Source organism: Homo sapiens, chromosome 20 (genome assembly GCF_000001405.40).
Source record: "Homo sapiens chromosome 20, GRCh38.p14 Primary Assembly".
Classification (NCBI taxonomy): domain Eukaryota; kingdom Metazoa; phylum Chordata; class Mammalia; order Primates; family Hominidae; genus Homo; species Homo sapiens.
The window spans coordinates 32,404,116-32,427,327 of NC_000020.11; the positions used below are offsets into that span (position 1 = coordinate 32,404,116).

Below are 23,212 nucleotides of genomic sequence, written 5' to 3' on the forward strand. Positions count from 1 at the left end.
TTCTTCTATCTAACTGTATGTTTGTACCCATTGACCAACCCCTCTTTATCTCCCTGCCCCCTTCCCAGCTCTGGTAACGATCATTTTACTCTCTGCCTCCACGAGATCAACTCTTTTAGCTCCCACATAGGAGTGACAACATGTGATATTTATCTTTCTGTGCCTCTTCCTTTACTTAACAATGTATTTAGGTCATCTTTGGTATTTTTATCAGCATTTCATAGGTTTTAGCATGCATATTTTGTACAGTTTTGTTAGATATATACCTAGTTTTTTTTGGTAAACTATTATAAATGAAATTGTGCTTTTAATTTTTGTTTCTAATTGCTGATTGCTAATATATAGACATTATTGATGTTAGTGTGTTGATCTGTATTCTGTGACCTTTATAAACTCACTTATTAGTTCTACAAGTTTTTCTCCTAGAATCTTTGGGATTTTCTCTGTTAGACCATCATATCATCTGTTAATAGGGCCGGTTTAATATATTCCTTTCTGATATGTGTACCTTTTATTTCCTTTTCTTGCTTGATTGACTAGCTGGGACTTGTTTGCTGTGTCGAATATGAGTGCTTAGTGTGGACATTCTTGCCTTATTCCCGCTTTCAGATAGAAAGCCTTTAGTCTTTCACCACTAGTATGATGTTAGTTATAGACATTTTATAGATGGTCTTTATCAAGTTGAGGACGTTTTCTTCTATTCCTAGTTTACTGAGAGTTTTTATCATGAATGTATTTGTTGAATTTTGTCAAAGTTTCTGCATTGATATAAATAATTATGCTTTCTTTTCACATCTTATTGTTTTAGTTTGCATTTCCTTGATGATGAATTCCTTTTCATATGCTTACTGACCATTTTATCATCTTCCTGCGTGAATTTTCTATTAGTTTTGCCCATTTAAAAAAAGTTTTTATTTTGTAGCAATTTTAAGCTTTCATAAAGTTCTAAGTACAGTACAAAGAACTTTATTTTTTCCTGACCCATTTTAGAGCCCTGTTGTTCCTTACTATTTTTATTTATTTTTTGAGACAGGGTCTGTCACTCTGTTGTACAGACTGGAGTGCAGTGGTACTATCATAGCTCACTCCAGGGCATAAACGATCCTCCTGCCTCAGCCTCCTGAGTAGCTGGGACAAGTGTGTGCCACCATGCCTGGCTAATTTTTTTAATTTTAATTTTTTGAACTTCTGGGCTCAAGCGATCCTCTTGCCTCAGCCTCCCAAAGTGTTGGGATTATAGGCATGCACCACCGCACCTGGCCCTACCCTTAATACTTTAGTATTAATGTTTTAGTATATTTGCCTTAAAGTTAATGACATTCTCCTTGCTACCTGTCCACAATACATTCATAAAATTCAGAAAATTACACTGAGTCATTATTACCATCTAATCTTCAGATTTCATTAAAGTTTAGCTAATTGTCCATGTAATGTCCTTTTTGTCCAAAGTATCTAGGTCAGAATTATGTGTTGCATGGAGTTGTCATATGTCTTTGGTCTCCTTCATTCTAGAACAGTTCTTTAATCTTTCTTTGATTTTCGTGACCTTGACTCCTTTGAAGACTACAGACCAGTTATTTTGTGGAATCTTTTTTAGTTTGAATTTTCTCATAATTGGATTCAGGTTTTGCATCTTTGTCAGGTATAGCAGAGAAGTGATGCTAGGTTCTTAGTGTGTCCTGTCAGGTAGCTCTTTATTTCAGTTTTTTCCTATTATTGATTATCTCTTTGATCACTTGGTTAAGGTAGCATCTGCCATCCTTCATCACTATAAAGCTCCTTTTTACCCCCACCCCTTTTTTTTTGAGATGGGGTTTTGCTCCTCTTGCCCAGGCTTGGAGTGCAATGTCTCAAAAAAAAATTAATAGTAATATATACAGTCATAGTTAGAAGCCAAGATCTAGTTTCTAAATGTTTGCTGCTGTTGGAGTGTTGGTGATCCCAGTTCCTTTCAGTGGGAAGGGGCTAAGGAATATATGGGTATATTTACATACATACACATATGTTCACTCAATCTATATTTATATCTGTCTTTATCTAAATATGTTGAAAACTATGAGCTTACCCCAATAATACAAGTTCTAATCCAGTCATTCTAGTTTTTTCCCTTTCCATATGTATAAGTCCTTTTTCCAACAATAATAAATCTGGGCTGGGCGCAGTGGCTTACACCTGTAATCCCAGCACTTTGGGAGGCTGAGGCGGGTGGATTGCTTGAACACAGGCGTTCTAGATCAGCCTGGGCAACATGTCAAAACCCCATCTATATGGGGAAAAAAAAAAAAGTTAGCCAGGTGTGGTGGCACATGCCTGTAGTCCCAGCTACTCAGGAGGCTGAGGTGGGAGGATCACTTGAGCCCAGGAGGTCAAGGCTACAGCGAGCCGAGATTGCACCACTGCACTCCAGCCAGAGCTACTGAGTGAGACCCTGTCTCAAATCTATTCCCTAATATATTTACCTAATTATTTAATCACCCACTCTTCACTGTTGCAGCCCTTTCTTCATGCAGATGTCCTCTTTACTTTGCTTGGACTCCAACACCCTGTGTTGGGTTGGCTCCACTCTCATCCCATGGATGAGTTCACTCAAGCTCTGACCAGTCACATCAGGGTGTTCTCCCATATACATGCCCTTCTCAACCCGCGTGGGCTTCAATACTCTGTCCTTTGTCATTCCCTGTTTGGGCATTTCACTCATCTTGATCTCCAACTCTCACGTCATACCACACTCAGATACACACAGATACCTTCTGTGCTCCACTCAGGCTCTGACTCTCTACTCTTGTCTACCTAGCCTCAGGCCTCCACTTTTGTATGGATGCCTACCTTGCTGTGTACCATGTAATGGAAGGGAAGACTAGTTTGGGGGAAGAGAAGGGCAGCTCTTCCCATTTAAAAAGATTGGTTTGTCTTTTTGTTTTAGGTTTATAGAATTGAAATATATAGGTGGGCTTGGTGGCTCACGCATGTAATCCCAGCACTTTGGGAGGCTGAGGCAGGTGGATCACTTTGGTTTAGGAGTTTGAGATTAGCCTGGTCAACATGGTGAAACCCCATCTCTACTAAAAATACAGAAAAATTAGCTGGGTGTGGTGGAGGGTACCTGTAATTCCAGCTACTCAGAAGGCTGAGGCACAAGAATTGCTTGAACCTGGGAGGTGGAGGTTGCAGTGAGCTGAGATCGTGCCACTGCTCTCCAACCTGGGCAACAGAGCTAGACTCCGTCTCGGGGGGAAAAAAAAGAATTGAAATATATGTATACACACACATATACACACTCTGGATACATACTGTATCCCGAGTATGTGTTTTGCAAATATTTTCTCCCAGTCTGTGGCCTGCCTTTTATTTCTTTTCTTTTTTTTGAGACAGGGTCTTCCTCTGTCACCCACGCTAGAGTGCGGTAGCACAGTCACAACTCACCGCAGCCTCAACTTCCTGGGCTCAAAGTGATCCTCCCACCTCAGTCTCTTGAGTAGCTGGGACTACAGACACGTGCCACCACTCCTGGCCCATTATGTCTGTTTTTTGTAGAGATGACGTCTCACTATGTTGCCTAGGGTGGTCTCAAACTCCTAGGCTCAAGTGATCATCCCACCTCAGCCTCCCAAAGTGCTGGTGAGCCACCATGCCTGGCCTGGCCTGGCCTGCCTTTGCATTTTTATTAAAGTGTCTTTTGATTAGAAGTTTTTTTGTTTTGAGGAAGTCTGTTTTATCCACATTAAAACAATATGTTTTTAGGAACTTTTGCCTATCTATTAATAGTGCACAAAAATATTTTTTGGCTTTATATTTTTGGCTCTTAGGTGTGCGATTTATGTCAAATTAATTTTTATTTTTGAGAGGGAGTCTAGCTTTGTCACCCAGGCTGGAGTGCAGTGGCACAATCTTGGCTCACTGCAATCTCCACCTCCCAGGTTCAAGCAATTCTCCTACCTCAGCCTCCTGAGTAGCTGGGATTATAAGCACTTGCCACCATGCCTATTTTTCTATTTTTAGTAGAGATGGGGTTTTACCATGTTTGCCAGCCTGGTCTTGAACTCCTGACCTCAGGTGACCTGCCCGCTTCAGCCTCCCAAAGTTGCTGGGATTACAGGCTTGAGTCACCATGCCTGGCCTCAAATTAATTTCTATGTACGGTTCGAGGTAGTCATTCAGGTTTGCGTTTTTACGTGTTTATCTTGTTTCAGCTTTATTTGTTGAAATGATGTTCCCCTCTTTATTGAATAGCTTTGGTGCCTTTGTCAAAAATCAGTTGAGTCCATACATAAGGATATGTTTTTGTACTCTGTTCTGTTCCATTAATCTATCTATTTTTATACCAATATTTTACTCTCCTGATTTTAGTAAGTCATGAGATTGGATAGTGTTAGTAGTGTGAATCCTCTGTGTTCTTCCTTCTTAAAATTGCTTGGACTGCTTTTGGTTCTTTGCATTTATTTTTCTTTCTTTTTTAGAGACAAGGTCTTGCTCTGTCGGCAGGCTGTAGTGCAGTGACGCAGTCCTAGCTTACTGCATCCTAAAACTTCCGGGCTCAAGCCATCCTCCTGCCTCAAGCTCCCAAGGCGCTGGGATTATGTGTGTGAGCCACCATGCCCAGCCTTCTTTGCATTTTCATATAAATTTTAGAATCAACTTGTCAATTTTTATCAATTAAAAAAATTGGGATTTTGATTAGGATTATGTTGACTTTGTAGGGAGAATTAACTTCTCAACAGCATTTTTTTTCAATCCATGAACATGGTATAATCTCCAGTTATTATCATCTTTAATTTTTCTTAGTGTTTTATAGTTTCCAATGAGGTCTTGCATGCCTTAACATTTTTTTCTCAAGTATTTTTATTTTTTTAATTTTTTAAATTAATTTATTTTTTTGAGATGGCGTTTTGCTCTTGTTGCCCAGGCTGGAGTGCAGTGGCGGAATCTTGGCTCACTGCAACCTTTGCCTCCCAGTTTCAAGCGATTCACCTGCCTCAGCCTCCCTAGTAGCTGGGATTACAGGCGGGCACCACCATACCTGGCTAATTTTTTGTATTTTTAGTAGAGACAGGGTTTCACCATGTTGGCCAGGCTGTTCTCAAACTCTTGACCTCGTGATCTACCTGCCTTGGCCTTCCAAAGTGCTGGGATTATAGGCGTGAGCCACCATGCCCAGCCTCAGCTATTTTTATTTTCGATGCTATTATACATGGAATTTGTTTTAAAAATTTGTTTCCCAGTTTTTTGCCCTAGCAGGTATATAGCTGATTTTTCAATAACTTGTAATTTTGACATAATTTCAGACACGATTGTATTTGCTTTATAATTCTAGCTACATGTTATTTTTTTCATGTACTAAAGTGCAGACATAATGCCCCCTAACCTCTAAATAGTTATTAACAACAAGTACATTCTCTTTCATAACCACATTGCAATTATCAATGTCAGAAAATTAATGTTGATATGGTACTGCTTGCTGTCTAATGTGCATACTTTGAGCTGGGCTTGGTGGTATACACCTATAGTCTTAGCTACTCAGGAGGCTGAGGTGGGAGGATCGCTTGAGCCTAGGAGTTGAAGGCTGCAGTATGCCATGATCAACCCTGTGAATAGCCACTGTACTCCAGCCTGGGCAACAATAGTGAGATCCCTATCTTTAAAAAAAAAACTGCATATTTTACTGAAATTTTACCTATTCTTTTCTAATGCCAATTATAAAGCAAAATTCTGGTTGAGGATCTCATCCTTGATCACATGGTACATTTGTTTGTCAAATCTCATTTTCTTTAATCTGAAAAAGTTCTCACAAACATTGTCTTTTATGACTTAATTTTTTTTAAAGTACAGACCATTTATTTTGTATTAATAGTAAGTTCTCCAATATGGATTTGTCTTGATGCTTTTCATTATTAAAGTAATGTTTTTGACAGGAATACCTCAGCATGTCCTCCTCAGTACATTTTATCAGGAGACACGATACCTGTTTGTCTGATTTCTGATAACGATAACTTCAAACACTTGGTTAAGGTGGTGTCTGCCTTATTTCTCTCCTATAAATAGTACCTTGTAGAGAGATACAGTAGTCCCCTTTATCTGCTGGGGATGTTTCAAGACCAGTGGGTGCCTGAAATTACAGATAGTCCCAAGCCCTATATATACTGTGTTTTTTCCTATGCATATGTACTTTTGATAAATTTTATTTTATTATTCCTTTATTTAGTTTTTAGAAATACGGTCTTACACCGTTGCCCAGCCTGGTCCTGAATGAACTTCTGGCCTCAAGTGATCCTCCTGCACTGGTCTCCCAAAGTGTTGGGACTACAGGTGTGAGCCACTGTGCCCAGCCCCCCAAGTTTAATTTCTAAATTAGGCACAGTAAAAGAATAACAACAATAACTAAGAATAAAATATAACAATTGCAACAATGTACTATAATCAAAGTTATGTGGATGTGATCCTTCTTTCTCTCTCAAAATACTGTAATTTTTTGGACTGCTGTTGACCACAGGTTATTTAAACTGTGGAAGGTGAAACTTCGGGTAGAGGGCACTTACTGTACTTTGAGACTATATGAATAGTCTCATGTACTTTCATTCACTGGTTTTAGCATCCACTGATGAAGGATTCCTACCTAAAACAGTTAGTACGCTGAGGCTGGGTGCAGTAGCTCACACCTGTAATCCCAACACTTTGGGAGACCGAGGTGGGTGGATCATTTGATGTCAGGAGTTTGAGACCAGCCTTGCCAACATGGTGAAACCCTGTCTCTGCTAAAAATACAAAAAAATTAGCTGGACATGATGGCGCATGCCTGTAATCTCAGCTACTGGGGGAGGGTGAGGCAGGAGAATCGCTTGAACCCTGGAGATGGAGGTTGCAGTGAGCTGAGATCGTGCCACTGCACTCCAGCCTGGGCAACAGAACAAGACTCTGTCTCAAAAAAAAAAAAAAATAAAAAAAATAAAAAAAAATTAGTACTCTGAGAGTTGTTGTCAAGTGGTGATTTTTTTTTTTTTTAAGTTCCACCATTTATCTGACATCTATTAGTTGTGGTTTTTCAGTAAGGGGGAGAGCTTTAATTTATTCCCCCATTTGTTTATTCGTTGTGAATTTATGGATTCTTTTTTTTTTTTTTTTTTTTTTTTTTGAGATGGAGTCTCATGCGCTCTGTCACCCAGGCTGGAATGTAGTGGCACAATCTCGGCTCACTGCAACCTCTGTCTCCTGGGTTCAAGTGATTCATCTTCCTTAGCTTCACGAGTAGCTGGGGTTACAGGTGCCTGCCACCATGCCCGGCTAATTTTTGTCTTTTTAGTAGAGACGGTTTCACCATGTTGGCCAGGCTTGTCTCTCCAACTCCTGGCCTCAAGCGATCCACCCGCCTCAGCCTCCCAAAGTGCTGGGATTACAGGCATAAGCCACTGTGCCCGGCCATGGATTCCTTTTTTTTTTTTTTTTTTTTTAAAATATGAAGACTCGCTCTGTTGCCCAGGCTGGAGTGCAGTAGTGCGATCTTGGCTCACTGCAGCCTCTGCCGCCTGGGTTCAAGTGATTCTCCTGCCTCAGCCTCACAAGTAGCTGGGATTACAGGTTTGTGCCACCACACCCAGCTTTTATATTTTTAGTAGAGATGGGGTTTCACCATGTTGGCCAGGCTGGTCTCGAACTCCTGACCTCAAGTTATCCACCCGCTTTGGCCTCCCAAAGTGCTGAGATCATAGGCATGAGCCATTATGCCCAGCCCTACCCATGGATTCTTATTTTATTATTGAGTTATAATCTTACTATCATTTTTAATGTACAAATTGTCGCTGATTTGGCCAGTGGAATTGCATGTACTCCAGCTTTTGTGTCCTTTTTATGTGTTTTCCTCATTCCTGAACACTTCTTTACTTACCTGCTTTCTGACCCAGCAAGATGTTCTGGGCTTAGCTTATATTTTCCCAGCCCCACTTCTAGAATCATCCATTTTCCTGGGGAGCTCTGGTTTCTTTTAGCTTAGAATAGTATGCATGTATACATCTGTACCTGTTTCTCTCTTTGTCTGTCTATAGGTAAATATAGTATTCATACTAATACCTTGAAATTAGTCTCTTACTGGGGGTTTCATTCTAACTTTACCTTTCTATATGTGCATCTTGCTACTCCAACATTGAACAACCTGGCTTCTATTATGTACTTTGTATCTACCTACTTGCTCAGTTTTAGTATAAACACTTAGTAGTTTTATAATTGTTAACCCATTCCACTGTGGAAGAACAAATCTAACTAGAACTCAGTATTTGTTTATAGTTCATTTAGGTTTTTAGCCTAAGGATATATAGTCAAAATACTTGAAGAATTACTTGGGTTAGATCTGTCCTTGTGCCCCTTCAGTGTGGTTATGTTATTCACTTTAAGTATATGTCAGTAAAAATTTTAAATGTATCACAACCACTTCCTCTTTTTAGTGCTGTGGGAAAACAAGCACTGTTGCATTACCCTTAAGAAAAGAAATAAATTTTTTTTTTTTTTTTTTTGGAAACAGGTCTCACTCTGTCTCCCAGGCTGGAGGGCAATGGTGGGATCGTAGCTCACGTCAGCCTCCCAAGTAGCTGGGACTACAGGCATATGCATCCTGGCTGGCTAATTTTTTTTTTTTTTTGCAGACATGGGGGTCTCACTATGTTGCCTAGGCTTATCTTGAACTCCTGGGCTCAAGTGATCCTCCCGCCTTGCCATTCCAAAGTGTTAGGATTATAGGCGTGAGCCACTGTCCCCAGGTCAAGAAAACAAATGGATACTTTTTTTTGTTGGGGGATTTGATACTATTAACAAAATTATATTTGCATCTACCTTTTGACCGATTGTTTCCATTTGATTATTCAAGGCAGTAGTATTTGTAGTTGCAGAATATTAAAAGCCATCTAAATGCTGGTGGTACATGAGGGAGTGGTTATACTTTGATACATCAACATCATGGAGTATCATGCAGCTGAGAAGAAAATGAGGAAGTTTTCATGAAACGATAGAGTAATTTCCAGAATATATTGTTAAGTGGAAAATTGAAGAGCAAAATACTCTCTGAGGCACGCAGATTTTGTTGTTGTTGTTGTTTAAGGATGAAGGATAAATAAAACAGATGTGTATATTATCATTTGTACAAAAAGAAACACAAGAAGAATACACCGGAAACAATGAGGTTGGTTAGGGGACTAACAGGAATGGAATGGAGAGTTGGAGGGGGATGGAAATGGAAGGGATGGTGGGGAGCAGTGTCACTTACTCTGAGTATAACCTTTTATATAGTTTTGATTTGTAATCATGTTATATTTCACATAATTCAATATGTAGATAAAATAACAAAGATGGGAAATAAAAAACAAAATGGGTTACAAACAAAAGATGAAACCCAGTGCTATTAACAGCTGTACAATTCTTGATGTGTTCAACGTATTTCATTCTTCTTTCTGAATGTTTGTTCCTGGAGCCATCTTTTTTCCTGCTCTCCGCATGGACAGTTTGTGGTGTAAGGTGGCCAGCCATCCTGGTTTGCCCACGATTGAGGGGTTTCCCGGGGTGTAGGACTTTCAGTGCTAAAACTGGAAACTCCCAGGCAAACTGGGGCCTGTTGGCTACTCTTTTCACGTGCATGTGGCTGTTTTCCTCGGACTTTCCTTATATGTACCTTGGGAATTCTCTTCACTTTCTCCTGGTATGTCCTGCCTTTCCTAGATCTCACACAAATCTCATTTATTGTTACTCCTTTAGTTGTGTGCGCATTCTCTACACAATACATTTATGTAGAGCAGATTGACGTAGAGTTGCTTCTAGAGAACAGGTGCCTAGGAGGTAAATTGAGGCCTTACATGTCTTTATTCTGTGTTCCACACTAGATTGTTGGTTGGGCTCAGAATTCCAGAAGATGTTACTCTTACTACTACATTCTTCAGAGCTGCTTTTGAGAAACATGCCATTGTGATTTCTGGATATCGTGTGTTTTTTTTGACCGGAAGATTTTAGGATCTGTTTCTCTCCTGTGTTTTGAGATTTCATGATAATGCTGTGGAATGGGTCTTTTTCATTCATTATGCTGAGTGTTTTGCCTTATTAAACTCGGAAACTGGAGTCTTCTCATTTGGGGAAAATTTCTTGTATTATTTCTGTCTTTTGGCTTTCTTCCTCTGGACCTTCTATTTGTTGGATGTGGGACTCTCTTAATGGAGCTTCTTTTTCTTTTTTTTTTTTAATCAGTTCTCTAGGAGATAATCTGTTGTTTTTGGCCTCTCATTTTTAATTTCTAGCAGATTGTTCATGTTCTTTAATGTTGCTTTATTTTTTTAAAAAAATATTCTGGCTGAGCTGTAGTACGTGTCTGTGGTCCCGACTACTGGGGAGGCCAAGGTGGGAGAATTGCTTACGACCAGGAGTTTGAGTCCAGCCTGGGCAACATAGCAACACCCCATATCTTATTTTAAAAAAAGCACTCTATGTTTGTTTTGGGCCTCTTTGAGAACATTTACTATGAAATTTTATTTATCTTTGTTTCCTTTCAGTTCTTCTTTTGTTTATTGTGATTATCTTTCATATAACAATGTGCTTAAATAGCTGGTGGTTCTTGATAGGTCACTCAACAGTGAGCAAACTGATGGATCCTGTGTTTGTGAGCAGTGTTTATTGGCTGTGATAGAGGGTGGGGACCTAGATGCTTTTAGGGGATCCTCCTGTTATCCATTTCTGAAAGTGTTTTCTCCTAGGCTGGTCACTTTTTCCAGGAGGAGAAATCCTTTCATCTCTTGCCATCTACATGACAGTAGGCTGTGGTTGGGGTCATAGTACTACTACTATTTGGGGAGCTTTGGGAGCCAAGGTGGGGAGGGAAGCTAGTGGTGTCATGATTTTCTGGTGTTTTTTGTTTGTTTGTTTGTTTGTTTGTTTGTTTTGTTTTGTTTGAGATGGAGTTTATCTCTTGCCGCCCAGGCTGGAGTGCAGTGGTGCCATCTCAACTCACTGCAACCTCTACCTCCTGGGTTCAAGCAATTCTCCAGCCTCAGCCTCCCTAGTAGCTGGGATTACAGGTGCCCGCCATCACCCCTGGCTAATTTTTGTATTTTTAGTATAGATGGGGTTTCGCCATGTTGGCCAGGCTGGTCTCGAACTCCTGACCTCAGGTGATCTTCCTGCCTCAGCCTCCCAAAGTGCTGGGATTACAGGTGTGAGCCACCATGCCCAGCCTGCGTCATGATTTTCTATTGTTGGTCTTATTTAGAGTGTGGCATCTCACTCCATGCCCCATCCCTTGAGCTGTGCCTCTAGTCTTCTGTTCCAGAACTTCCGTGGTTCAGTTTAATCAGAATATAAATCTGTTTTCCTCTGGAGTGGGAGAAGGGTGTATTGCCTTACTGTTTAGGGACAGGAAGGAGACCTGAGGGGGTCTGACTGTTTTATTCAGAGTTTGAAACAGTTCTCCTGTTCTCAGCCCCTGCCTCTCAACTCTTGTCTGCAGTGGTTCCTGGTGCCTCCCACTTCCCTGCGTGCTCCGGGCTTTTGAAGCACTGGCTTGCTTTTTGTGGCTTTTCCCTCTGCAGCCATAAACTTCAACTTTCCTTCTTTGCTGAGTCAGTTACTTCTTACCTTCCTGCTCAACCTGGTCTTTCAGATTTCTGTTGACATCCCTCATCTACTGCCTTTTTCCTTCCCCTTACTCTTTGTCTTTATGCATGTACACTTTTACTGTTCCCTTATAGTCATTCTAGTGAACCCTCAGGAAGATGCAAAGAAGTATATGTTCATTTTGCCATGTTTATCCACAACCCCCAAATACCATTAAACAAAAGAAAAGAAAAAATATTTAAAAAAGAAAACAAAAACAAAAACAAAACAAACCCTTAATAAATGGAGAGCAGCTATGCCATGTTGTTGATTAAGAAGATTCTATATCGTAAAGATGTCAGTTCTTCCCAATTTGATTTGTAGATTCAATGCAGTACACTACAAATTTTGAAAATTGAGATATAATAGTTATATGTATTTTGGGGGTACAGGTGATATTTTGATACCTGTATGCAATACATAGACATTTTTCTTTGTGTTGGGAACATTAAAATTCTTCTTTTCTAGTTATTTTGAAATATATAGTAAATTATTGTTTACTATAATTTTCCTATTCTACTATTGAATATTAGAACTTACTCCTTCTATTTAACTGTAATTTTATACCCCTTAACCAACTTCTATTTTGCCATGTTTAAATATGGAAGCTCAAGCGTTTGTACAGAGAAAGTGGAAAATGCCCTTGGCTTTTATGCCAAACCCCAATCCCTCTGTCCCCACCTGCCACCCTGGCCTGTTGCCCCTGTTCTTCCCAGTAGCTACAACCACTATCATTAATTTAACGTGCATCCTCCTATTCATATGGAGGTATGTGGTATGTTTGTTTATATAAGTGTATTTTATTTTCTTTAATGTTTAATAGTGTACCATATCAATATAGCTACATTTTATTTATCCAGTCCCCTGCTATGAATATGTGCGTTTTTCACTGTTTTCTAATCCCTGTTATAAACACTGCAGCAACACTTATCCTTAATCTCCATGTACAAACGTGTGAGAATTTCTCTAAGGGACTATTCCCTTACCTTTTCATATTGTATGCTTGGGTAAAATGGAAGTGACTTGGAGGCTCTTTCTGTGGGGGTTAGTGAAAAGATTTCATTACATTTTCTTTGCATTTTGTAATTATGATGAGAAAAATATAAAACTTATAAATCTTTTTTAAAAGTTTTGAGAAACATGCTTTGTTACGATCATGACATCAAGTTTTATGCTTAAAAAGTCTGTAATTCCTTGTGTTTAATGATGAACTCTTCAAATTCCTGATACAGATCTATAGTCCCTTATTAACAATTCTGAAATCCAAAATATTATGAGAACTGAATTTTTTTCCCCTTGACTGATTTAGTAGTAAAACCTGACCTGTGTAAACTCATTTTGTGTCAAAACTCTGATGTAGATTGACAGGTCTAGGTTAGCTTATTTGTTTCACTTGGTCTTTGTCTACATTTTATTTTTTTAAAAATTAATGTGTTTGATTATGGGTTGCTGGTGGTGCTGATACACAATATATGCATATATTAACATTCTAAAATTCAAGAAATTCTAAATAAAAACACATCTAGACCCAAAGATTTCAGGTAAGGGATTGTGGACCTGTGGTCACCATTAGCTAGAAAGTTTCAGCTGTGAGTGGCAACTTACAAGAATTTCTTTCTGGTTGATAGAAACTCCTTTCTTATTATTAGTAAGAACTCAGACAATTTCTTTACGTTATATTCCAAGAGTGTGTTCATTTTTTAAATAACAGCTCTTCCTTTTCTTTCGTTGACATCTATAATATTGAAATTGCTTTTGATAATGCAAATGGATTTCACATTCAAGAGAACCTTTTTATGTTAAGTATTTTGTTTAAATGGAGAAGCCTTTTCTCAAGCATGTATGGAGATTGCTTTCCTTGTTTTAATTCTTCTTTAGGATTTTCATGAGAAAATTAAAACATCATTAATGGACCATTTTAGCCACAGTTTTCCAAAGTTGCATTTTGACTTTGGATCTTTAAACTTTCTGTATACTTTAATAGGTATGTGTAGGTTTAAAAAAAATTTTTTTTTTTTGATCAGAATCTTTTGTTTTAGGCCAGGTGTGGTGGCTCACACCTGTAGTCCTAGCACTTGAGGCTGAGGAGGGTGGATTGCTTGCGCTCAGGAGTTCAAGAGCAGCCTGGGCAATATGGCAAGAACCCCATCTCTACAAAAAATAAAAAAGTTGGCCGGGCGCGGTGACTCATGTCAGTAATCCCAGCACTTTGGGAGGCTGAGGCAGGCGAATCACGAGGTCAGGAGTTCGAGACTAGCCTGGCCAACATGGGGAAACCCCGTCTCTACTAAAAATACAAAAAATTAGCTGGGCATAGTGGCAGGCGCCTGTAACCCCAGCTACTTGGGAGGCTGAGGCAGGAGAATTGCTTGAACCCGGGAGGCAGAGATTGCAGTGAGCTGAGATGGAGCCACTGTACTCCAGCCCAGATGACAGAGCAAGACTCTGTATCAAAAAAATAATAATAATAAATAAATACAATAAATAAATAAATAAATTAGCCTGGAGTGGTGGTGCATGCCTCTAGTTCCAGCTACTTGAGAGGCTGAGGTGGGAAGATCACTTAAGCCTGGGAGGTCAAGGCTGCAAATGAGCTGTGATAGCACCGTGGCACTTTAGCCTGGGCCCGCACAGTGAGACCCTGTCTCAAAAAACAAAAACAAAAAATACGTTTTAGAACTATCAGTTAAATTTTGTAAGCCATTGTTTACCTACTTTAATTGGGATTTAATTCATAGACCATACAGTTCACCAATTTAAAGTATACAATTCAGTGGCTTCTAGTATATTCATGAAGTTATGCAACCATCACCATGGTCTGATTGCATAATATTTCCATCACCCCAAAAGGAAACCCCAGTAGGTCATTCCTATTCTCACCTCCTCCTAGTCCCTAGCATCACCAGTCTACTCATTTAATTACTAAAACTTTCTAAAAAGCAACTCCTCTCATCTTGTTCTTCAAGAGTATCTTGGCTCTTTGTGACCCTGTGCTTTTCCATGTAAAATTCTGTAAAAGATCGTGTTGAGAGCTTTATTGGAACTGCATTGAATCGACAAATCAAAATGGGAAGAATTGACATCTTTTTTTTTTTTTTTTTTTTTTTTTTTTTTTTTTTTTTTTTGAGACGGAGTCTTGCTCTGTCACCCAGGCTGGAATGCAGTGGCACAATCTTGGCCTACTGTAATCTCCGCCTCCCAGCTTCAAGCGATTCTCCTGCCTTAGCCTTGCGAGTAGCTAGGATTACAGGTGCACGCCACCATGTCTGGCTAATTATTGTATTTTTGGTAGAGATGGGGTTTCATCATGTTGGTCAGGCTGGTCTTGAACTCCTGACGTCGTGATCTGCCCGCCTTAGCCTCTCAAAGTGCTGGGATTACAGGCTTGAGCCACCATGCCCAGCCAAATTGACATCTTTATGATATAAAATCTTCTTAATCAAGAACATGGTATAGCTCTCCATTTATTTAGGGTTTGTTTGTTTTTGTTTTTTTGAGACAGGGTCTTGTTCTGTCTCTCAGGCTAGAGTGCAGTGGTGCGATCATAGCTCGCTGCAACCTGAAACTCCTGGGCTCAAGCAATGCTCCCACCTCAGCCTCCCGAGTAGCTGAGACTACAGGTGCGCGTCACCATGTGCAGCTAATTTTTGAATTTTTTTGTAGAGCGGGGGTCTCCTTACGTTGCTCATGTTGGTCTTGAACTCTTGGGCTCAAGTGATCCTCCTTCCTCAGCTTCCCAAAGTGCTGGGATTACAAGTGTAGCCAACATGCCTGGCCTTACCAAGGTTTTAAGCCTTTCTTGATAAAGTTTTATGTTTTCTTCATAAAATGATGATATTTCTTTTGTGGAATTTATCCCTGGGTAACTTACGTTCGTTTTTGTTATAAATTATATTTTTGTTATAAATTATATTTTTGTTTTCTTTTTTCTTCAACCCTGGCAAATGGATATATTTTCTTTTTTTTTTTTTTTGAGACAGAGTTTCGCTCTTGTTGCCCAGGCTGGAGTGCAGTGGCACCATGTCAGCTCACTGCAACCTCCGTCTCCCATTCAGGCAATTCTCCTGCCTCAGCCTCCTGAGTGGCCGGGATTACAGGCGTGCGCTACCACGCCGGGCTAATTTTTGTATTTTTACTAGAGTCAGGGTTTCACCATGTTGGCCAGGTTGGTCTTGAACTCCTGACCTCAGATGATCCACCCACCTCGGCCTCCCGAAATGCTGGCATTACAGGCATGAGCCCCCACACCCGGCTGATGGATAAATTTTCTAATTGATGATGTTAATTGGTGATGTTAGTATCACTTGATTTTTCCTTTTTTTTTTTTTTAATGTGATCTCAAATGTCACAATGTGGCCAAAATCTTTTACTAGGTCTGAGTCTCTTGGATCTTTAATGTAAATAATTATGCTATCTGGAAATTATGACATGCTTTTCTAATCCCTTCTTGTTTCTATTATGCATTGAAAGGAATTCTAGTATACTGTTGAATGGTTGGTGTTTTCTTAGTTTTTCACAGCCTTCAAGTCAGCCTTCTCCTAAGAGATAGTACTTATTTTTTGCTCAGGAAAGATATAAGGAAAGGCATAACTGATATTTTGCTTTTTTTTTTACTTCAGAATCTAATCTTGGGCAGTTTAAACTTTATCAATTTAAATGTTAGCTCTCCTTTGCTCAGATTTGCCACATTCGTAGTGTCTTGTATTTTTTAAAACATCTGACCTGTGGGAGAACATTTTATTTTGGTTTACTTATTACAGATGGTTTATTTTTTTTCAACATTAGCTTCTTTTCTAGTTACCTTGCCAAACTAGTATACGTTATGCATTTTAGAAACACTTATTTGTATTAATAGATGAACGTGAGTAAAAAGTATACAGCAAGTCTTCTTTGTACTGTTTTACTCTTGCAAAAGTAGAATGAAAAGCTTTTGCAGCTTTCCTGTAAAATTGAATTTCTTTCCATATAAAAATGTTCAAAATGTATTTGTAAAAGGAATACGTACTCATCATCAGTATTAAAAAGGTTCAGAATAAAGAATCCCTACAACTACAGTTTTTAAAAGACAACTCAAAAAAAAAATGGGTGAAAGACTTGAACAGATACTTAAAGAGGAAGATATGAATATGGCCAATAAGCACATTAAGAAGTGCTCATGCAGCCATAAAAAAGAATGAGTTCATGCCCTTTGCAGGGACGTGGATGAAGCTGGAAACCATCATCCTCAGCAAACTAACACAGGAACAGAAAACCAAACACCCCATGTTCTCACTCATAAATGGGAGTGAACAGTGAGAACCCATGGACACAGGGAGGGAAACATCACACACCGGGGCCTGTTGGGGGGTGGGGGGAAAGGGGAGGGAGAGCATTAGGAAAAATACCTAATGCATGCGGGGCTTAAAACCTAGATGATGGGTTAATAGGTGCAGCAAACCACCATGGCACATGTATGCTTATGTAACAAACCTGCACATTCTGCACATGTATCCCAGAACTTAAAGTAAAATTTAAAAAAAAAAAAACTTCAAAAAAAAAAAAGTGCTCAACATCTTTAGACATTAGGCAAATTAAAATGAAAATCATTGAAATCTAGCACTCTGAATTAAAATTAAAACCACAATGAGGTACCATTATACTCCCACTAGAATGGCTAAAATAAAACTGCCAGCTTCAAATAATGGTGAGGATTTGGATCAACTGGAACTCTCCTCAAGTGCTGTTGGGAGTATAATTTTTTTTTTAATAAAGTTAGCTTTCATCCATCTTATGACTCGGCATTTCTACTCCTAGATAGTTATTCAGGAGAAATGAAAACGTCTCCAAAAATTTACAAGAATGTTCATAATAGCTTTATTCATAATAGCTAGAACCTGGAAATAACCCAAATGTCCATCAAGAGAGAATATACAAATGGTTGTATATGAGAATATTAGTCTGTAATAACAAATAATGAACTACTGATGCATGCAACAATGTAGATGAATAGCATAAACAGGCTGAGTGAAAGAAGCCAGATACAAAAGAATATATATGTATGAGTCCATTTACATGAAGACCAAGAACAGGCAAAAGTACGTTATGGAGATAGAAGTCAGAACAATGATTGCCTTCGTGGGGTGAGAGGGGTGGTTTCTTTTCTTTTTTTTTTTTTTTTTTTTGAGACGGAGTCTGGCTCTGTCACCCAGGCTGGAGTGCAGTGGCGTGATCTCGGCTCACTGCAAGCTCCGCCTCCCGGGTTCATGCCATTCTCCTGCCTCAGCCTCCCGAGTAGCTGGGACTACAGGCGACCGCCACCACTCCTGGCTAATTTTTTTTTTTTTTTTTGTATTTTTAGTAGAGACGGGGTTTCACCGTGTTAGCCAGGATGGTCTCGATCTCCTGACCTCGTGATCCGCCTGCCTTGGCCTTCCAAAGTGCTGGGATTACAGGTGTGAGCCACCGCGCCCGGCCGAGAGGGGTGGTTTCAAATGGGGGTTGATTAGGAAGGGGCACAAGGAAACTTTTGGGGGTGTTGGAAATGTTCTATATCTTGATATGCATTTGTTAGAACTCATTAAATGGTACACCTAAGATCTGTGCATATCACTGTGTTTAAATTAAACTTTAATTTAAAAAAATAGGGGAAGGATAGGAGGAGGTATACATTGATCCAAGGGCATTCTCCTACGTAAGCACAATACAGTTATCACACTCAGAAAATTTAACATTAATGCAGCATTACCATCTAGTATGCAGTTCACATTCAAATATCCCAGTGTCTTGAAATTTGCTGAGAGTAGATCTTAATTGTCTTCACACTCCCCATCTCACACTCTCCCTCTCATGGTAACTGTGTGGTGAAGGATTGGTTAATTTTTTTTTTTTTTTTTTTTTTTAAAGACAGAGTCTTGCACTGTCTCCCAGGCTGGAGTGCAATGGCATGATCTTGGCTCACTGCAACCTTTGCCTTCCAGGTTCAAGTGATTCTTGTGCCTCAGCCTCCCGAGTAGCTGGGATTACAAGCGTGCACCACCATGCCCGGCTAATTTTTGTATTTTTAGTAGAGACGGGGTTTCACCATGTTGGCCAGGCTGGTCTCGAACTCCTGACCTTGTGATCCACCCGCCTTGGCCTCCCAAAGTGCTGGGATTGCAGGCATGAGCCACCGTGCCCGGCCTATAGAATTTTTTATATGTAGGATTTAGTGAAAGATCACCCATTATTAATTTTTTTAAAAGCTTCATGATGAAAATTATTCTTGTAAAATGTTAAAATCTTGAATCCTAGGGCATGTTTTCTGGCACCTGTTATTTTCAGTAACCCATTTCGTTTTTGTCAGACATATAGGGTTAATGTATGAAAAGTCAATTATGTCAAACTTATAGAGTTTATATGGAAAGATTAATGATCTTTTACAAATGCAGAATTGGCTGGATGTGGCTAATTGTAGAATTGGCCTGTAACCTAGCACTTAGGGAGGCTGAGGTGGGAGGATCGCTTGAGTCCAGGAGTTTGATTTTTTTTTTTAATTTTTTATTTTTTGAGACAGTCTCACTCTGTCGCCCTGGCTGAAGTGCAATGGCATGATCTCAGCTCACTGCAACCTCCACCTCCCAGGTTCAAGCGATTCTTGTGCCTCAGCTTCCCAAGTAGCTGGGATTACAGGTGTGTGCCACCATGCCTAGCTAATTTTTTGTGTGTGTGTGTATATTTAGTAGGGGGGGTTTCATCATGTTGGCCCAGGCTGGTCTCGAACTCCCAGCTTCAGGTGGTCCCCCCATCTCGGCCTCCCAAAGTGCTGGATTACAGGTGTGGGCCACAATACCCAGCATTTTTTATTTATTTATTTATTTATGTATTTGAGATGGAGTTTCACCCTGTTGCCCAGGCTGGAGTGCAATGGCATGATCTTGGCTCACTGCAGCCTGCATGTCCCGGGTTCAAGCGATCCTCCTGCCACAACCTCCCGAGTAGCTGGGAATACAGGCATGTACACCACACCCAACTAATTTTTGTATTTAAGTAGAGTCAGGGTTTCATTATGTTGGTCAGGCTGGTCTCGAACTCTGGACCTCAAGTGATCTGCCTGGCTTGGCCTCCCAAAATGCTGGAATTACAGGCTTGAGCCACTGCACCTGGCCAAGCCCAGGACTTTGAGACCAGCCTGGGCAACAGACCAAGACCCTGTCTGTACAATAAAAATTATGCAGTATTAGAATAGCAAATCTTACTCTTAAAAGTTTTGTTTTCCTTGTCTTTTTACTGAAAATGCATGGCTTTAGAAACTTCTGGGTAGTTTGAATTGCAGACAACCAGGCCCTATTCCTGTTTGTTTAACTAATGAGATTTGTAAACAGTACTTGGTTTCCCCAGACTCTAGGACCTAGAGGAAGGAAATTTTGATTTAGCTCTTGGTAAAGCATTTAACACCTAATTTTTCTTTTTCATTGTTATTTTCTTGATCACAGAAAACAATACATGTTAATAGTAGAAAATACCCACAATTGAAAAGAATATAAAGCACTTACTAAAACTCTACCACCTAGGCTAGGTACGGTGGCTCACACCTGTAATCCCAGTACTTTGGGAGGCTGAGGTGGGTGGATCACCTGAGGTCAGGATTTCAAGACCATCCTGGCCAACATGGTGAAACCCCATATCTACTAAAACTACAAAAATTAGCTGGGCGTGGTGGCAGCCACCTGTAATCCCAGCTGCTCGGGAGGCTGAGGCAGGAAAATCGCTTGAACCCAGGAGGAGGAGGTTGCAGTGAGCCGAGATCATGCCGCTGCACTCCATCCTGGGTGACAGAGCGAGACTCTTGTCTCAAAAAACAAACAAAAAAACTGCCACCTAGAGATGGTGGTGGCCAACAGCTTAGTAAGAATTTCTCTTGCATTTTTCTATGCAAACACATTCAAATTTTCATTTTTTAAAAAAGATGATAGAATCATACTGTATGAATTTAATTGCCTAATTAAGCTTGTGTATCATCGTTTCTCTTGTCATTAAATGCTGTACAGCTTTCTTTTAAATGGCTATCTGTGGTAGTGTTCCTTGAAGGAAATACCTTAAAATTTTTTGTTTTTAAACTTTTATAATTGTGGGAATGTAATACAGTGAATGCATAGGACACAAATGTTCAGCTTAAGGAATTATTATAAAGTGAACACCCTGTAACTGCCACTTAGATCACGACATCAAATATGGCCAGCAGCCAGGCGCACCTCCCCTACCCCCCACTGCCCCTTCCCAGTCACAGCCCCATTCTTCCAGCTGAAGGTAACTTCTGTCTTGACTTTATGAAAGTTATTTTCTTGCTTTCCTTTAGATTACCTACCCGTCTTTGCATTCCTAATGCTGTAGTTTAGTTGAGCTTATTTTGAACTTTTCACAAACGGAATCATCAACTATGCATTATTTTGTATCTGGCTTTCATTCACTATTTTGTTTTTAATATTCATCTATGTCGTTAGTAGCTATAGTTCATTCATTTTTTGTTGCTGTATAATCATCCATTTATTGAATGTACTACAATTTGATTCTGCCTTTGGCAGCCACTTTGATTGTTTATAATCCAGATTTCAAATGCTGCATCATGAACATGTGGGTTGTGATTTGTGTAGATGTGCATGTACTTCTCTAAGGAATCCAAGCCTAGGAGGGACGTTGCTGGGTCAGAGGATGTTTGTATCTTCAACTGTACCAGATAAGGCCAAATTGTATTCTCAAATGCTTGGATCTGTTTTCAGTGTACTTGTTCTACTCCTAATTAACACTACTTGATATTGTCAAACTTTAATTGTAGCCATTCTGATGGATGTGGTAGTATCTCATTGCGGTTTTAATTTGCATTATTTTGCATTTTCCTTATTGTTAGTGAGATTAAATACCCTTTTATATGTTTTGGCTACTTCAGTATCCTCTTGTGCAGTGCCTAATTCACATCTTTTATTTTTCTTCTGAGTTGCCTTTTGCCCATTGATTTATATTTGTTCCCCCTCTCTCCCCGCCCCCAAGAAGGAGTCTGGCTCTGTCACCCAGGCTGGAGTACAGTGGCACAATCTTGGCTCACTAACCTCTGCCTCCTTCGTTCAAGTGATTCTCCTGCCTCAGCCTCCCAAGTAGCTGGGACTGCAGGTGTGCGCCACCACGCCCAGCTAATTTTTGTATTTTTAGTAGAGACAGGGTTTCACCATGTTGACCAGGCTTGTCTTGAACCCCTGACCTCAAGTGATCCATCCGCCTTGGCCTCCCAAAGTACTGGGATTACAGGTGCAAGCCACCATGCCCGGCCTGATTTATAAATGTAGTCTAAATACAAGTTCTTTATTGGTTATGTAAGTTGCAGATATCTTTTTCAGCTCTGTAGGTAATAATGTTTTTTGATGAATAGGAGGTCTTAATTTTAATGTAGTTTAATTGATTTGTTTTCTCCTTTGTAAGAATCAATATTTTTCATGTCCTGTGTAAATCTCGTATTGGGATAAAAGATACATATATATTTTTTAGGTTTTGGCTAATAGTTTTCCGTTGGCAGCATGTGAACCTTTTTATGCCATTTTTACTTTCATCAAGGGTGTATGTATGATTTTCTCATACTCTTGTCAGAACTGGAGATTTGGGGTAACTTTGCCAGTGTAATAGACTTTCTTAATTCATTAAGGAGTATTTTATCTTAGTTTGCCCATGAGAGAAGAGAGATTAAATTTGTTTTATTATACCAAGAACATGGCAGTCAATAAGCATAACTAAAAATATTATTTAGCTTTTGATTCTGAAGACCATGTATGGCCAGTAAGGAAAAGAGGTAAAGATGTAGAAAACTGTTTTCTTTTTTTTCTTTCTTTTTTTTTTTTTTTTTTTTTTTTGAGATGGAGTCTTGCTCTGTCGCCAGGCTGGAGTGCAGTGGCGTAATCTCAGCTCACTGCATCCTCCACCTCCTGGGTTCAAGTGATTCCCCTGCCTTAGCCTCCCGAGTAGCTGGTACTACAGGCGCGTGCCACCACACCTGGCTAATTTTTTGTATTTTAGTAGAAACAGGGTTTCACCGTGTTGGCCAGGATGGTCTCAATCTCCTGACCTCGTGATCCACCTGCCTCAGCCTCCCAAAGTGCTGGGATTACAGGTGTGAGTGAGCCACTGCACCTGGCCTCTTTTTTATTAATTTAAGATACATGATTTTGGCTAAAACTAATGAAAATAAATTGATGAAACTTCAATGTAGTGGATCAAGAGACTCATGAAATTGATGAGTTAGATTGTTGTGGGCACCTGTTTTAAATTTATGGTGCCTTTTTAGCAGAATCATGACTTTATCAACTCTTTTTCACATACTTTTATTCAAAGAAGACATTCTCCTCCTCTGCCCCAACTTATCTTCTTCTTGTCTCCAACTGCCAGTATTCTCATCCACACTCTTTGTAGTTTTGAGGTGTGAGATAACTCCCAAGTTCTTCTTGGGAATGGGTAGAGTTTAATTCTGAGTCTACATGTCGTGAGTCTATTGGAAGAAGCTTTTCTTAGGAGGTGAAATTTGGGATGGAGTTCTCCTCTACACTCTAGCCCTGTAGCCACAATCTTTGGTTTAGATCTTTGGCATTTTTTGTTGGACATCTTT

General features: G+C 39.7%; 1 protein-coding gene across 13 annotated transcripts in view; it reads left to right on the forward strand.

Moving 5' to 3' along the window:
- The window catches only part of ASXL1 (ASXL transcriptional regulator 1), an 80,989-nt gene that overhangs the window by 45,785 nt on the left and 11,992 nt on the right, over positions 1-23,212 (forward strand). The gene's annotated exons all lie outside the window — the stretch shown is intronic.